An 18,750-nucleotide genomic window follows, 5' to 3' on the forward strand; every position below is an offset into this window, starting at 1 on the left:
CTCTCAAACCAGGCTGCACATTAGAATCACAAACCGGGGACAGGAGGACATTTTAAGAAATACTAAGAGTAGGGCCACACCCAAGACCAATTGTATCACAACTCTTGAGAATGATCCCAAGCATTAGTATTTTTCAGTACTGATTAATATGTAGCCAAAGTTGAGAATGACTAACAAATAATCTTGGCAACATATAGATCACTGCACATATAATAAGCTATATATTTCAGTATCATAACAACTTCAAATTAGAGCAAGATTTTTTTATTTTTTCCCTGATCGCTACTAAGTTTCTATGATATGTAAATAAATTATTCTTTAAACAGATACACAATGCTTGCATCAAGAAAAACGTTTCCATCCATTTACAGACTAAATACTAGGCTATTCTGTACCTACTATAGCAGTAATTAAAACAGTTCCTACTCTTCCCAAAATTAGAGGTCAGTTGTTTCTAGAACAATTTCCTTAAGTGTTTGTATTTCGAATACTAAGCTTAAAATGCAGTTTCTTAGACACAAAGTGCTACTATTTCACAGAGGGAATAAGAATATATTTTTCAAAATGGTATCTACTTATTACACAGTCCTCTGCTCTTATTTGTAGTTTTTTTCTTAGATTATAATATAATGTGAATTATAAAGCCTCCTCTACTACAAAGCTTTAAAATCTAATTTTAAAAAATTCAGTCATTATTTGAACTCATATAAAAAGAACTCTTCATATCTGTACTGGATATGTTCAGTTCTGAAGTTTTCCCATTTTCTTGGTTTTTGGAGAGAGCCATGTGCATGGGTGTGCATGCACATGCATCTTCCTCAGAGGTGCATGTTTATTTCTGAAGTTTCCTCTTACACTGGATCTCCTTTCCGTCTTCATTTCCCAGTTACTTCCTACATTTAAAATGTATTGATTTTATCTTCTTATACTTTGCATTCTGTTTATATCTTTTGTTCCTCTATTTTACAATAAACTTTTTATCTTGAGTCTCCATTTTTAAAAGGCTTATCCCTCCTAGTTTTCTTATCTAGAACTCTCTTTCAAGTGTGTAACTGTTTTCTTTATCTCTCACCTTTCACCACCCCTTTCTTCCTACAGAGAGGGATTTAATCCTACCATCTCTTCTCCTAATCTCCAGTTCTTTTTTCTTTCTTCTAGAACAGTTGTATTTTTATAGCTGCACGTTCACCAGCAAGACAGTGATGACATCGATCTGCAGTATAATAATATTCTTCCCATCTTATAACTTCATTTTACTTTTAAACTGCTTTTGCGGAAACAGATGCAAATATTGTACCCTATTTACCCAACCCAAGAAGATCAGTGTTTTCAGATGTAGATATAAATTCTTTTGAAATATTCACAACTTTTTCACTATTTCTGGCCAAAACAATGATAATAATAATAATAATAACAATAACAGTAATAATAACTCTGAATTTGTTTTTTAGAGATGCGTCTCACTTATGTGTCCCATCCTGGAGTGCAATGGTTATTCACAGGCATGATCACAGCACACTACAAACTATAACTCCTGAGCTCAGGCAACGCCCCCACCTTTTCCTCTTGAGTAGCTAACACTTATAAGCATGTGCCACTGAATCCAGCAATAACTCTGAATTTTAACGAGATATGCAGCCTCATAGTAAGAATACAAGAAAATAACCTAAGTAGCTGTGGAAATTATATCCTGTCAGTTCTCACTTATAATGAATAATTATCTTTGACTCTAAGGAATTAACTTCTTACCATCCAATAATTTTATATTCTGGCATGAGATATTTTCTTTTAATAGTAGGCTCTAATCCAATATGCAATCTCACTTAATACTGTGTCTTCTAAAAAGCCTTCTAAGATTTGTGTTTTCCTCCAACCACTTCTAGGGAAATAAAGTTAAGCAAAATTGTCTACAATTTCTACAATAATCCAGAAACTCCACATATGTAAATATACTACATACTACATATATATTTTAAGCATGCTTCTTAAATCAGTGATAAAGGCACATTAGAAAAAGATCAATCTAATAACATCCCTTACACAGAGTCAGACAAGTGTCAACACTCACAACTAGTCAAGCTTTTCAAGAGCTCTCTAGATGCCCAAAGTTATTTCCATGGAAATCTAGAGCAGTTCAAATATTCTCAGCTTAGTCTATAAATCTAAATATACAGATTTCAATGGGTGCTTGCCTCTGCAATTGTAAGCCCAAGAACAGGCTAGCATGATCTTCCTACCAAATTGAAATATAAATCACCCATATATGATAGAATCAGAATCTCTTAGATGGATAAAATCAATAACTACAGGGCATAAGCTTAAAACTCATTACTCTATGATATGAATACTATATCTTTGCAACTATCCAAATGTCATTTGGATGCTTGAAACTTTTTAGTAGAAAGTTTCTATTCCTTATCACTTATCATGTAATCAAAGAATGTTGTAAAAATTCTTCAGTTCTCATTGCTCATGGTTTTTCCACTTCCATGACTAATGCCAGGGATATTTAAGAAGCATGGTGCTTGCCAAGGAAAGTGCATAGGGCTTGAAGCCAGGAAACAAGATTTATATCTTGTTTTTGCCACTTACTGTCTGAATGACCTTGGAAAAGTCACAGTGGAATCACACAACTACAGAGTAACAGCAAAGAGTCACTTTTCTGAATCTAAGTTTCTTCATCTGTGAAATGGAGAAAAAAAGAGTCCCTTATCATGAGGCTGTTGAGCCCATTAAATGAGAACATGTATGAGAAAATGCTTCATAAAAGTCAACATGTTTCATAACTTATTATCATGGGCACTTCGCCCAGTAAAATTGAGATTCTTGTGAGCTTTTCCATTGGTTACTTCACACTGACAACCTGGGATTCAATGTTTGTATTTCTGTTTCATCACTTGAAGAAGAGAAAAAGACTTAAGAATTACTATGAAAAGATCATTTCACCAAATAAAATTGTTATGTCTACAGATAGACAAAGTTAGACAAAGCCAGGGATTTCATGCTGTTATCTTTCTGTACAATCTCCTAATATCCTGGAGGACATACAGCATTTCTCTCCTTGGTGATATTTCCTCATTGTTTTAACAGCACATCTCAAATCTGTTCTCATGGTATCCTACTGCAGTAGCAATAGAGAAAAATAGGCTTGATTCACTAACTGCTCTTCCACTGCACAAGGAAATAAAATTAAAATGCACATCTACCCTGAGGTTTTTCATTAGTGTTAAGGGAGGCTGTCAACTTCTGAATATGATGAGTGAAAAGAGAAAAAGTTAGCTTGTTCACCCTTGAAGCAAGCAATACACAACCAACTAACAGCTTGGTAAAAGAATCATCTAAAGCATATAGATAATTGCCTACAAGGATGTGGTATTTGACAGTGGAGACGTTTACTTTACATAATTGGGAGCATTGGGTTTTGAATTAGAACTGATTCAAGCACTGGTTTTGCTACTGTCTGCTTTGTTACATGTGAAATGTCACTTAACACATCTGCCTCGGTTTCTTTACCTTAAAAAAGGGATATTAATAAGAAATATTTCAGAAGATTTTTATAATCATTAAAGGATGCAGTATGTGAATATTCTTTCATAAATGTAATCACTATCTTAGCATTTGTCACATTATTCAGATCACTGTGGAGAAGTGTATAATTTTCATACCTTTACAAAGAGATCGCCCAAAACATTTAGCATGCTACTGCACATTTAGATTTTTAAAAATATGGTAGTGAAGGGGAGGTGTAGTATATAGCATTTTCCAAAAAAATTTTACTATGGAATCACAGTATCTAAGGAGCTAAGAAGGTGATTATCCAAGGAGCTGATTGCCATCATGCAAAACATATCCTAAGACTGATTTTCAACCAGAACATCTGGAAAAGAGTACGTCTGTCTTGTTATAAATGGAGAAGCAAAATAACACAACAATTGAAAGCCTCTGCTCAGGAACTAGACTAAATTTGTATCTCACTCCACCATTTCATAATTGTATAAGCACTATCTGCCTCAGTTTCCTGATCTGTAAAATGGAGATAATGGCAGGTGCTATCACTTAGGGTTTTATGAAGATTAAATAAGTTAATAAACATAAAAAGACTTGGCATGGGTCCTGACACAAAATAAATAATAAGTGTCAAGTGTTATAATATTTTACTACTTCTTGAAGGATGGAAATTTCTTCTTATGCATTATTGTTGCCTCAGTGTTATAGGAACAGTGTTTGATATATAGATGTCCAATAGAATGAATATTCATAGAGTGAAATTTATAAATTTGCTTAAAAATATTTACAAACCATCTATAAGCAATGACAACTATTAAATTAACATTATAATTATTCATATATTTTATTACTTTACTAATATTGTATCAAAGTCTAAGAAATGTATGTCACAATTGTGACTGGTCCATATAAACTTTTACACAGTTTATATGACAACACAGCTTAAAAAAATGCATTCTCCAGTTTAATACATAGCAGTCAAAATGCTTATCTACTAAAGGATATTTTCTTATGCCAATATGACCTATAACAACACTAAATTCCTTGAGAAACACACATAGAAGTAAGCAAACATAGTATGAATCCAAGGTATAAAAATCAGTTCACGGTTTTTGCTCTCTCTCTTCCCAAGTCTCACTGACCAGCCGTAGACAATTTGACTGTCATTTCCGCTCTTTCAATTGAGAAGCAAGTGAGTAGAAGAAAGATAAAATTATAACTAGTGTAACCTATTCTGTCCTAGAAGTCTTTCTTAAGTTAGCTGGTTAAGGAGTCTTACATGAATAAATAAGTCATTTAAAAAGACTTTGTCACTAACATTGATAAGTGAAAAATAAATGCATTTTATTCATTTTGATAAAATCAATTATAAAAACTTATTTGGGCTTACCAAATAAAAATAGCTATCATTCAAATATGTAAAGGCTTTGTTTAAAACTTGTTTCAAATTTGCTATGAGTGGTTCATTAATTTATATTTAGTATTATTTGCCAAATATACCCAATTCATAACTTTTATATACATATTTAAAGATAAAATTCTCAAGTTCAAAAATGTAATTATAATAAATGGTAGAATTTACTTTTTCCACGTTTATGAGAGTAAAAATGAAAGTCTTTTGGTGTTCAGACCAAACTCAAAAAAAATCCCTAAACTTCTGTTTTAGAATTTTGATGCCAAGCCTTTGCTAAGGAAGTAACAATCCACAGCACTGTTGCAAACCTCTAAAGAAATTAGTTTTTATACAAACACTGACAGGCTCTGACCATCAGTGGCATTAGAAGGCGCCACCATAATTGCAGTCTCCTTAAGACATAACTTATTTCAGGCTAAGTAGGAGAGCCAATATTTTGTATTTTAATTAAGAAACCTGGATTTTGTTTGTAATAATTGACTGTTAAGTCAATTATTGCCAGGACATACTTGTAAAAGAGAATTTGTGCCTCCAATAAGCTTTCATTTAAGATTTTCTGGAACAGATTTGGAATTTGGGATTGAAATCTGTTTCAATTATTTATGTTAGCTGCTTTCATTGTAATACTAATAGCTGAAGATTGTATTTGTATGTATTTTCAATAGATGAAAATATTCATAAATGTTTATTATTTTCTTCTTGAAGAAAATGTTGAAAGATAATGATGAAATTATATTGTCTGTTACGAACTCTCAATCCAAACTATTCCCCTTATTAACTAGTTAGACATGAAGATAAATCACTGTTTTCATAGTGTTACAAAATAAATTAATTAATATTAAAGACAGAGTAGAACACCAAAGAGACAATCTAGTAACAAAGTATTTTAGATGTAAAACACCCATATGATGATGTTGAAAATGTCTAATTTTTGGCTGTTCAGATCAAACTATTCTATACAGTAATGCTTTAATGTTCTTATACTCAAAAAATGCTACTCAATTATAATTATTTTAAGTACATGTGATAGTAGTATTTATTAATTTAATAAAAGTCAATTGTTTTAAAAGTTAATTAGAATACATCTGAAAATTTTACCTCTGGAGAATGAGTTTCCAAAGGAAACTAGATGGAACACTGCCACCTCTTGGTTATATAAATTGTAAAGTTGCAGAAATTTACTGTAACCTTTTTGAATGGAAATGTTTAGACACACTTTAAGCTTTTAGAAATAATAATCCTATCTCTATTGCTATGAAAATATACATCTTTAAATTTTTGCTTTTCAGTTACAGTTCTTTAAGTATTTCACTTACCATTTTACTAAGTTTGTCCAAAAACTCTTGAACTTTAGAACCTGGAAACAATTCTTCATGTTTATTTTGTAAAGAATGGCAAGTAATGACCTTGTAATGAAAAACACAAAGGGACTTTTATATCCTGGGTCTCTGTTATGAACATTTCTATTACTTCTTTTATACCAAACCACACCACTAACCTAGAGAACAGTATTTTGCAACGACACACTCAAATATGCCGAAACACTAATTACATTTCTTTCGGCTAGAAGGATTTATACCTTCTCACCCCATAAGTATTTTATGTACACAGTTTTAAATTATAGGGTAAAAAATTATACAGTAAGTACCTAGGCACATCTAGAGACTAATTTCGTGGGTGAAAAGAAATGAAAGGCTCTACATAGACATAGATTTCACGTAGGACAGGATCTGAAATTATGAGGTTGTCTCTACATGGGGTCAATGTAAAATAAAGGAAATCAAGGATGGGAAGGAAGATATACATTGATAAATAAAGTAAATAAAGGAATTGGTTCAACAACAAATTTCAAAAGTAAATAAAGGAATTGGTTCAATAACAAATTCTATTATTATTTTTCAGTACAGTTCTTACAACCTGACTGTAGTAAAAAAGCACATCTCTTGCTACATAAGTAAACAGTAAATCACATGTAATCAAAATAATGAAGTGAAATATACAGATGAGCTTAAAGGAAAATAAGAGAAATTCCTAGGCACCAACAACAAAGAAGAAATGTAAAACCAGATAATTTACAAAATGACTCAATAGATGTTTAGGGGGTTATCAGGCTCAGGAAAAGCCGCATTTCTAGGGGATGCAGATTAACTGTCCATATAGAGACATGAATATTACCTTGGACTTACATGAAGATAGATGTTGAACTTGAGATCCTTATAGAGAGCTAGGAAAATAAAGGGGGGACCTCTGAGCAATTGAAGAGAGAGATAAAATAATAACCCCTAGTGAAGTAATATTTGATTTGGCCTAAGGATATAAGTGAAAAATAAATTAAAATTCTCCTTTAAAAATTAAAACAAGGCCAGGCATGGTGGCTCACAACTGTAATCCCAGCACTTTGGGAGGCCGAAGCAGGTGGATCACGAGGTCAGGAGTTCAAGACCAGCCTGGGCAAGACAGTGAAACCATCTCTACTAAACATACAAAAATTAGCCTAGCAGGGTGGCGGGCATCTGTAATCCCAGTTACTCAGGAGGCTGAGGCAGAGAATTGCTTGCACCCGGGAGGCAGAGGTTGCAGTGAGCCAAGATCGCGCCACTGCACTCCAGCCTGGGCAACAGAGCAAGATTCCGTCTCAAAAAATACAATACGATACGATACGATACGATACGATATGATACGATACGATACGATAAATAAATAAAATTAAATAGTTCATGGTACTCTGCTGTCCTTAAGGTTAGTGGTAGAATTCCCAAGTCTCAATATTAAAAACTTGTTTTAAACCAATTGAACAAACATAGCATAGATACATATTAATAGCTTCCCTTTAAGCACTAGAGTCCACAGAATTCTGCACAGGGAGAAAATACTTATTAAAGAAAAGTTTAAAATCAAAAACTACAAACCATATAAGGAAGCAATCTAAACTGAGCAGGAGCTGTCAAGTAAGACAGCAGGAAGTACTGCACATCCCCAAACTGGAGGGAATAAAACCATCCAAAGTAAACTTTTAAAACTATGTTTAAAATGGTAAAGCCACAACAAAAGAAATAGAAATCATAATTTTTTAAAGCAGGACATTGATAAAAGAACAGGAGGATTTGAAAATTAATAAAAATTTAATAGAAATAAAATTATGAACACCAATTTTTTAAAAAATCAATCAATAAATGGTCCGATTTCACACAGCTGAAGGGAAAAATTTAATGAAGATAGATCTGGGAAATGTATCCACATATATTACAAAAAAGATACAGAAAGAAATATAAAAAAGATAGTTGGATATCTATCTTTTCAATACATGGCAGGTTTCTCTTAAACAGTGTCTTTGTCTCAATATAATATTTACAAAGAGATTTCAATAACAACTACCCTAATAGTCACTACTATTAATACTCTCAAGTATTGCTTGAAACAATCATAGAAAAACTTTCCATGGTGCAGGTAGCCAAATAGTAAGAATGTCTTCAAAATTGTTAAAGAATATTCATATGTTCTTCAGTGTAAAAATGTGAATACCTCAAGAAAATGTTTTGGTTTAGGTCCTGATACAGATAATGGCAGCCTCTAAAATGGCCCCTGGTCCTCCTGCCCTAGTGTAATCCCCTCCCCTGAAGTGTGGGCTGAATTTATTGACTGCTCGTAATGAATAAAATACATAAGAAGTAATGGAACGTTACTTCTACTATTAGATTATAAAATGACTAACTTCCAACTTGCGTGTTCTCTCTTTCTCACTCTCAGGCTTTCTGTCTCTTGGATCACCAGCTGTCCTGTGGTGACGACTTTCAGAGGGCCTCTGAAGAGGCCCACATGGTGAGGAACTAAGGCCTACTAGCAACCACATGTGTGAGCTTCGAAGCAGATCTGAGGCCTGCCAAAAGCCATATGAATAAACGTGGAAGCAAATCCCTCTACCCACCCACCCCCATGAAACCATCAGAGGATACCACAGCTACATTCAATAACTTAACCACAGTCTCAAAAGAGACCTTAAGCCAGAGGTATCGATTTATGTTGTCACCAGATTCTTGATGCACAGAAAATGTAACATAATAAATGTTCATTGCTTTCACTTTCTATGTATAGGAATGTCTTAGTCTATTTTGCTGCTATAACAAAATACCTGAGATTGAATCATTTATAAAGAGCAGAAATTTATTTCTTATAGTTCTGGAAGCTGAGAAGTTCAAGATCAAGATGGCAGCAGTCTGTCTCTGGTGAGGGCCTTCTTGCTGATTACTTAATATGGCAGAAAGGACACATTATTTCCTCATGCAGCAGGAAAAAGAAGGGCAAAAAGGGTCTAACTTAGTTCTCTCCGGCCCTTTTGTAAGACACTGATCCGTTCATAAGATCATGACTTCTCCCAAGGCTACATCTCTTTATACCACCACAATGGAGATTAAGTTTTCAACATGAATTTTGGAGGCAATAGACACATTCAAACCACAGCAGGGAGTAATTTGTTATACAGCATTAGTAGTTTCTTTACCTAAAATATCCTTTAATTTAGAAAAATGACTAATATTAATATCTCAATATGTATAATGAAATGTTAAACAATATCACCTGATAATCCACTGTCCACAGAATATGAACCTGTCATAAATCAATCTTACAGATATTAACATTTTTATACTCATCAAAGAAAATAAATACAAAAACCTGTTTTATGATTTTATTTAACATGAGCTAAGAAACAAGTTACTTAGAAAAGATAACTTAATGAGCATGCCATTAATACACCCCTTGAGAAAATCTGATTTTAGGGATAAAGTATAATATAAGTCATATTAGTTTAGTACATCTATAACACTGATGCTGAGAACATTGTTCATCTCTACATAAACTCCTATATGAGCATCACATGAATTTTTCTTTTAAAATTTAGTACCTGAGAAATGTGTTTCTTTTGTAATTTTATCATTCATTTACACATTCATTGAATACATACTTTATTGCCTTACCATAAGCTAGGCATTTAAGATGGTACCAGGAATACATTTATTAGAAGTAAAATATCTCTGCTTTCATGGAAGTAACTTTATTATTCTAAGGAAGAAGCAAACATTAAACAACTGACTACATATAAAAAGACGATAAAGTAGGAGTTTTATCCAATACCTTAAAATGGCAGATTCAGAAATCAAGGAGAGGTGCTAGACAAAAGTATTTTCAAAGGACGTTTATATAAAACCCAGCTAAACAACCAGTAAGTTCCTCACTTCCAGAGCAGAAAGGGGTCAGAAGTAGAAAACCGGTGGGTTGTGAATTCCTCTTCTTTTTCAGGGGAAAGAGCTGAGGATGGGGATCTGCCTCTAACTTCAAACTTAATTACAGAAGCTTCAAGGAGTCTCCTCAGAGAACTTGATATGTGCACCTTAAAGTTGGAAGTTGCCGTGCCTCACATCTGGGAAGTGTTAAGACAAGAAACAACGGGCGAATGGCTCTGATGGTGAAGCAAAAGCGGGGAGCTGAGTTGGAATGAGCCTGTATTCCCAGAATTCAATAAAGCAAAACAAACTTAAAGGTTTCTATGGACCAGATGCGGGCCACAGGTAGGGGTGACTCAGTATGTTGAGTTTTATTAGGGCCCATCCCATGAAGGCTACCTAAAGAATGAACTGGTTACAGTAGAGAGAAGTTAAAAGCCACCCTGGATTCCTAGAGACTACAAAAAAAAAAAAAAAAAAAAAAAGAACCATAGGTCAAAACATCACTTACATCAAGAAATAGTCAGTGAGAAAGCTATCCTACTGGAGGGCAGCGGTGGGTCATAAGAATCCACATAAGCAACTTTTCATAAATCCGCCAGCCATTTCTATGCTTTCTTTGGAAAAATGTCTATTCAGGTCCTTTGACCATTTTTTAATTATTTTTGATTTTTTTGCCATTAAATTATGCAAGTTCCTCATATATTTTCTATAGTAACCCTTTATCAGATATATAGTTTGCAATTATTTTCTCTTATTCCACAGGTTGCCTTTTCATTTAACTGATTGTTCCTTTGCTGTGCAAAAGCTTTTCAGTTTCATGTAGGTATCTCTTAACTTAATTTTACTTTTGTTGCCTGTGCTTTTGATGTAATATTAAAAAAAAAATATTGCCAAGATCAATGTCAAGGGGCTTTTCCCCTAGGTTTTCTTCTAAAACTTTTATAATTTCAGGTCTTATGTTTTTCTTTAATCTATGTTGAGTTAACTTTTGAATATGGTGTAAGACAAAGGTACAAAAGTATGAGATACTGTTTTCCTAACACCATTTATTGAAGAGATTTTCCTTTCTCATTGTGTATTTGTAATGCTCTTGTCAAAGATTCGTTGACCATATATGCATGGAGTTTTTTTCTATACTCTATTCTGTCCCCCCTTGGTCTATGTGTCTGTTTTAGTGACAATACTATACTGTTTTGATTAATACAGCTTTGAAATATTGTTTGAAATAAGGGAGCATGATGCATCCAACTTTGTTTCTTTCTCAAGATTGCTTTGGATATTTGAGGTCTTTGTGGTTCTATACAAATTTTATGGGTTTTTTTCTACTTCTGTGAAAATGCCATTGAAATTTTGATAAGGATTGTATTGACATACAAATGGCCAACAAGTATATCAAAATGTGTCCAACATCATTAATCATCAGAGAAATGCAGGTCAAAGACAAAACAAGCTTTCACTTCGTACCTGTTAGGATGGCTATTATCAAAAAGATAGGCAGTAAGTGTTGGTGAGGATATAGAGGAAAAGGAACCCTTGTACACTGTTGGTGGGGTTGTAAATAGAGACAGCCATATGGTAAACAGTATAGAGATTCCTCAAAAAATTAAAATAGAACTATCATATAACCCAGCAATCCTATTTCTCAGGCTATATCCAAAGAAAATAAAATAGTATCTCAAAGACATATTTGCACCCCCCTGTTGAGTGTGCATTACTCATAATGACCAAGATATGAAAACAACCTGTGCCCATCAGTGGATGAATGGATAAAGAAAATGATATATGTGTGTGGAATATTACTCAGTCAAAAAAGAAAGAAATCTTGCTATGTGACAACATGGATAAACTTAGAGGACATTATTCTGAGTGAACTAAACCAGATACAGAAAGACAAATATTATATAATCTCATTCATATGTGGAGTCTAAAAATGTTGCACTCACAGAAACAGAGTAGAATAGTGGTTTCCAGGGGCTCGGGGATGGGGGAAAGGGAAAGATATTGCTCAAAGAGTAAAAACTTTCAGTTATAAGATGACAAGTTCTGGGTATCTAATGTATAGCATGAGTAATGATGAATGTATTAATTAATTTGATTGTGATAATCATTACAATACAATACATATATGTATATACATATATATACACTGAATCATCACATTCTATACATTGAACATATACAATTTTTATTTGTTAGTTAAATATTTTTAAAATAAAAAATAATTCACATAAGTACTTTACAAAAGAAAGGGGTCAATGTTGAATACCTGCAGGCCCAGAGAATATAAAACAAGCACGGGAAATTTTGCAAATAAGAAATAATCTGTTCCTTTCATCTTTCTGTTTTAGTTTCCTATGGCTTCCATAACAAATTACCACAAACTCGGTGGTTTATAACAACAGAAGTGTATTATCTCACAGTTAAGGGGACTAGAAGTCCAAAATCAAGGTGTAAACAAGGTGTGAACAAGGTGTGAACAAGGCGTGCTCTCTCTGAGGGCTCCAGGGGAGGGCTCCTCCTTTGCCTCTATTAGCTGCTGGTGGCTGGCTGGAATCTTTGGTGTTCCTTGATTTACAGATGCATCACTGTAATCTCTGCCTCCCTCTTCACATGACCTTCCCTATGTGTCTGTCTCTCCTCTTCTTACAAGGACACCAGTTATACTGGAGTTAGGACTCACCCTACTTCAGTATGACCTCATCCTAATTAATAACATCTGCAAATAGCCTATTCCCTAATGAGAATGATGTTGTGGTTTTGTGTGGACATGCATTTTTGAGGACTCTATTCAACTCAGTACAGTTCCCTACCTGCCCATGGTTTAAATTCCCAAAGTGCTCAGAAAAGGAAGCAAGTGGTAGAGGAGGTGAGCAGTTAGCGAGGGGAAAAAAACAAAACAAAACAAAACAAAATTAAAAACTTACCATTTCACCTTCAGCCCCCACTCTTACCTCTTTCCAGCTAGATTATACATCTTCATTTTATGGCAGCCTCCACCTTTCAGTCACATTCACATTTAAGTTCCTCAAACTTGCCACAATCTCCCTTGCTATGAGGCTTTTACACTGCTGTTCCTTCCATCTGGAATACTCTTCTCTGTAACACCTACTTGCCTAAATTATGCCTATTCCTTCAGCATTCAAAAGAAATATCACTTCTTCAGGACCCAAAGTCTAGTCATCAGTGTCTTACCAGATCATGGCAAAGCTTTCATGACCAAATAAACCAAAAAATAAGTTATGGCAATAATGATACAATAAGGATAAATATATATATACACATACATATATATACACACACACACATATTTTACTGTATTATAATATCATATGTGTATGCATATATATATATGAGTATATAAATTTAAACTCAGGTATTAACATAATTGCAAAATGTGCTGTTTTGGAAAATCCATTTTTTAAATTCTTATATTTTGTCTTCCTTGCTTTTTTTCATAGAGCAGATGGAAGTTCTTTTTTATTGCCCTTAATTGTCAAAAATAAATTTAAAAATTCCAAAGGTGGCAATTTTATGCATCAAAATTTGAAATTGTATTTGGGAATCACAGAGACTCTAATAATAAGACTTTCACATGGGCCACTAGAGGAGGAAAAACTTGAAAAAAATACCCACCAACTAAAAAAAAAGGATTCTCCTTTCACTAACTAAAAGTGCCTGTTATCCTGTGGTTTTGACTCAGTTACTCTCAGAGCTTCTAAACCTGTTTTTTTTTTTCCTATATTTCCTTGGATCTCTACACCATATTTCTCAAACATTCATTCACTATAGCCTTAACCTACTACAGTCCAAATGGTCACTTAATTCGGTGTTGCTCTTCATAAGATCTCCACATTTCTCATCTCCTTAAATTTTTACCATCCTCATCTGTATTAATATATTCACAGTAGCTCCTCAGGCTTGCTTAGTTGCCTCAGACTTTGACACTAATTCTATACTTTATGTATCTTCAGCTAATGCCATAATTTCTTGGGAAGTTTTTGTTTTTGTTTTCTTTGGTTTTATTTTGTTTTGTTTTGTTTTGTTTTGTTTTGTTTTGTTTGAGACGGAGTCTCTCTCTGTCGCCCAGGCTGGAGTGCAGTGGCATGATCTCAGCTCACTGCAAGCTCTGCCTCCCAGGTTCACGCCATTCTCCTGCCTCAGCCTCCCGAGTAGCTGGGACTACAGGCACCCTCCACCGTGCCTGGCTACTTTTTTGTATTTTTAGTAGAGACAGGGTTTCACCATGTTAGCCAGGATGGTCTCTATCTCCTGACCTCGTGATCTGCCCACCTCAGCCTCCCAAAGTGCTGGGATTACAGGCGCGAGCCACTGTGCCCGGCCCTGGGAAGTTTTAATAAACCTAAAATTAATTCCCTTTCAACCTCAAAATGATTCTGTATCTATTTTCTTTTTCTCTTCTATGTCATGCAAAGAGGTGCCTCCCGAATCGTCACAATGTCCCTCTGTGGTTGCAACGCCATACCATACTGCCTTGCCAAAGTTTATCCTTCACCAGTCATTCCTTTTTCAATATTTTCTACCATCCCACCTTTATCAGTCATTTGCTCCTTCTTTTCCAATATTTCAATATAATGCAAACTTTTGTGTTCACCTGTCAGTCCATCAAGTTATCATGTAATTTCTCACCTGTCCAAAATTCCACCATTTTATCACTACGTATTTGGTTATCTACTAGTATTAAGTTATTGTCCCCACAACTTAGCTGAAACTATTTCCTTACATGTCAACTCTCATCTCCTAGTTATAATATAAAATGGATGTTCTCTATCCTTAACTTTTCTTGTGTATCCCAACCACAGTTTTAAAAAATGTTTTGTAGAGAAAGAGTATCACTGTGTTGTCCAGGTTGGTCTCAAACTCCTAGTCTCAAGCAATCCTCCTACCTCATCTTCCCAAAGCACTGGGATTACAGGCATGAGCCACCACACCCCACCCTCAATAGCACTTGATACTGTAGTTATAATATTTAACAATGTTGACCCATTATTCACTGTGAAATTTTTTCTTCTCTTGAGTTATGTGGCACTGATTCTCCTTATTTCCTTTGTATATTTAGAAAAGCCTTTGATGTGTCTTTTTTATTAATTCTTTATCCTCCTATGCTTAGATAGATACATACATACTTTTCATAACTTCAGCTAATACTGTGTTGAAGATTATTAGCAAACCAGCATCTCTAGTCCTGACTTATTTCTGAACTTCAAGTCCCACATTTCTAGTTGCTCACTGGGTATTCAAAACTAAATAAACCAATGGCACCTTAGACTCAATATGAACAAAATAGAATTTATTGGTCCCTCTTTAAAACCTGAGTCCCCTATATTCCATAATGCATATCCCCTACATTATAGTCAATGTCAATTAAGCATTTTCTATGCTTCTGGTACTACGCTGTGTCTTGTTAATGCCAATATAAAAGATATAGTTTTTATCCTCAGGTCTAATGGAGAAGACAGAAATATAGAATTTAGTGTATTTTAATAGAGCTAAACCCAGATTTCCGCAGGTGTTTATCCCAGACTTACGACAATACAAAACAAATTTCTGAAAGGATGCTATCTAAGCTAAGTCCTGAACAAACGTAAATCACTAGCAGAGTTCTTGTTTGTTTTTTCTTTGTGTGCTTGCCAGCTATTATTTAACAACAGTATTCAACCTTGCATGTGTATCACAGTGATCTCCAGAACTGTTTTTCAAAGATGAAGTGTCTGACCTCACCTGAAAATCCTGTTTTGGCAGGGTTAGGTTATGAGCAAAACCATTTTATCATTCCAAAGCTCCTCACTTTAAACTTTGGCACTGATTTAGGATATCATTGATTTGTCCCCTAATGGAAAGAACTAAAATCAACTACAGAGAAAGATTTATTTTAAACATAGGAAAGCACTCCTTAGTCATTAAAAACTTGGGAAAGTACATGGCTGTTCTCATAGTCTTAGTCCATTTGTGCTGCTATGACAAAATACTTGAAGCTGAGTAATTGACAAATAATAGAGATTTATTTCTCACAGTTCTGGAGGATGAAAGTCCAAGATCAAGGTGCTGGCAGTTTCTGTCTGGTGAGGGCTACTTTCAGTTTCCAAGAATAACATCTTATTGCATTCTCGGACAGGGATGAATACTGCGTCCTCACATGGTGAAAGGGATAGAAAGGATAAATTTGCCCTCTCAGGTCCTTTTAGAGGGCACTAATTCATTTATGAGGGCAAGGCCCTCATTACCTAATTATCACCTAAAGGCCCTACCTTTTAATATTGTAGCATTGGGGGTTATGTTTCAATAAAAATTTTGGAGGGAACACAAACATTCAAACCATAGCACATAAGTTCACTTCTGTCATGAAGTCTTTCAAGACCTTTCCCTCAATTCCAGAGACACCATCTGTGATACATCTCTATCAATGTCCTATCAATAAACTTATCTCTTGTGTCTGCCTCTTCCAACAGATAATGAGTTCCTTGAGAGCAAGGATTTTGGCTTTTTCATCTTTGGGATTCAGAACTAAACAATACTAGGCACATTGTTAGATGTTCTGTAATGTTTATGGATGAACTAATGAATAAGAATTACTCAAGTGAATATTGGCTAACAAATATGCTAAGAAAATGTAAGAGCAAATATAGAGGTCAGAAAAACCATGCTTATTCAAAGGTAGAATGCAAGGATGCTTGTAGCCAGAGATGAGGCTGGAGAGGCAAGCATGAATCTGATTGTAAAGAGCTTTGGATCCAGTGCTATAGTTTTTGGACTTTATCCTAAAAGTTATAAGGAACTTCTGAAAAACGTTTAGAAGTATACTGTAATTGAACAAATTTAAGTCATATTTTTAAGCTGTGCATTCAGGTGAGCAAAATTTTAACATACTTTTTCTAAAATGCACTTCAACCTCAATTTTGAATCTCCATTATAATTCTTTAGCCAATTCTATGGAAAAACAGTTATTTCAAATTCAAATGCTTTCTATGCAAGATTTTCTGTCCTTCTACTCCTGTTTCTCTTCAGGGGGTAATTCATGAAAGAAAGACATCTGGTCTCTGGCCATTGGCAACTGTCCATGCTGTCATCTACTGAAATGCAGAGTCAAGCAGAGCTCTTGGGATTCTAATTGGGTCAACTGGATAAATGTTATTACAGTTCACTAAGAAAAAAGATAGAAGAGTAAGACTTAGTCTGAGGAGGGGTCGGGACAGAGAATGTTATCTTTGCAGGGCTTCGATTACAGTCAGGAGATTAACTCAAGTAGGCAGATGGACATCTGGGATCTAGAGCTCAGGAGGAAAAGGTGAAATAGAAATGATGATTTTGGGATTCATCAACAAAATGTCTGGTAAAGACAGATACTCAATAAATATTTGTTTAAAAAACATTGGAAATTAAGGTTGAAACTATGGGAATGCATGTGTAGAATTATAAGATGTAAAGGCTGAAAATAGAAAGTTAGGAAACTCCAACATATATGAAATGGGTTAAGGAAGCATTGTTCTTTAAATAACCAAATATGTAGGAAAAGAAACTAAGAGATAATGGTGTCACAGAAACCAAGATAGGAGAGAGTTGAAAATGATTAATTAATTACCATTATCAAATAGTTAGTGAAGTAAAGATAAGGAATAGAAATCTAGCCTATTAAGCCACAAAGAGATCATCATCAAAGACCTTTGCCTAAAAAGTTTTGGTGGAGGGGTGTAGATGGAAGCCAGATTTCAAAGGGTATGGAAAGCAAAATAATGAAAATAATGAAAATAATAAAGAAATATTTTATAAAAAATTAGAAGAGTAAAAGGAAAGGGAGAGATAGGTTTGCTACTAAAGACAAAATTAGAGTGAAATTCTGAATAGTTGGTTGCATTTAAAATTGAAAAACATAACTTTTTCACTAGTCGGTTTGTTAGTCTCAAACAGATATTTGGTTATACTCTTCTCTTCAATACATAACCTATATCAACATCAGTTGCTAAATGCTTTGAATTTTTTCCCTGTAGACGTTTACATTTCTTTCATTCTTCTATTATGACTCCCATGAAGTATAACGTCTTTTGATTCTTCCTTAAGTCACCTTGCACAACACTCTTAATTACTAAAGTACTGCTTGGATCATGTCACACATCTTCATTGTTTTTGGTACTTTCCTATTTCCTATCAGATAAACTAAACACTACTCTTATTTATGGAGAGAAAACAAAAAAGAATCTCAAATTGTTGCTCAGCTCAACAGCCATAAACCTCATTTTTAGAAGACTCTACCATTGTTCATGCCATTTCTTATGCCTAGAGATAATGCCCTCTTCACTTTTTCCACTATCCAAATTCCACTTATCATCTAAGACTCACTCTGGAAGTCATCTCAACAATGATATTTGCTTTAATCTCCTCGGGTGACAGAGATCCCTCTTTCCTGGTCAATGTGACAGTCCTGAATTTTTAGAGCTCCATCACCCTCTTATGCTGTTTGTGTTAAAGTTACTGGTGTCTTTAAATCTTCTGTGAGACAGTAAACAACTTGAAGATAGAGAATATGTCTTGTGTATCTTTTAGCCATCACAAAACTTTACATAGTAGATGTTCAACAACACCAGTAAAGATATG

Source organism: Homo sapiens, chromosome 6 (assembly GCF_000001405.40).
Source record: "Homo sapiens chromosome 6, GRCh38.p14 Primary Assembly".
NCBI lineage: Eukaryota > Metazoa > Chordata > Mammalia > Primates > Hominidae > Homo > Homo sapiens.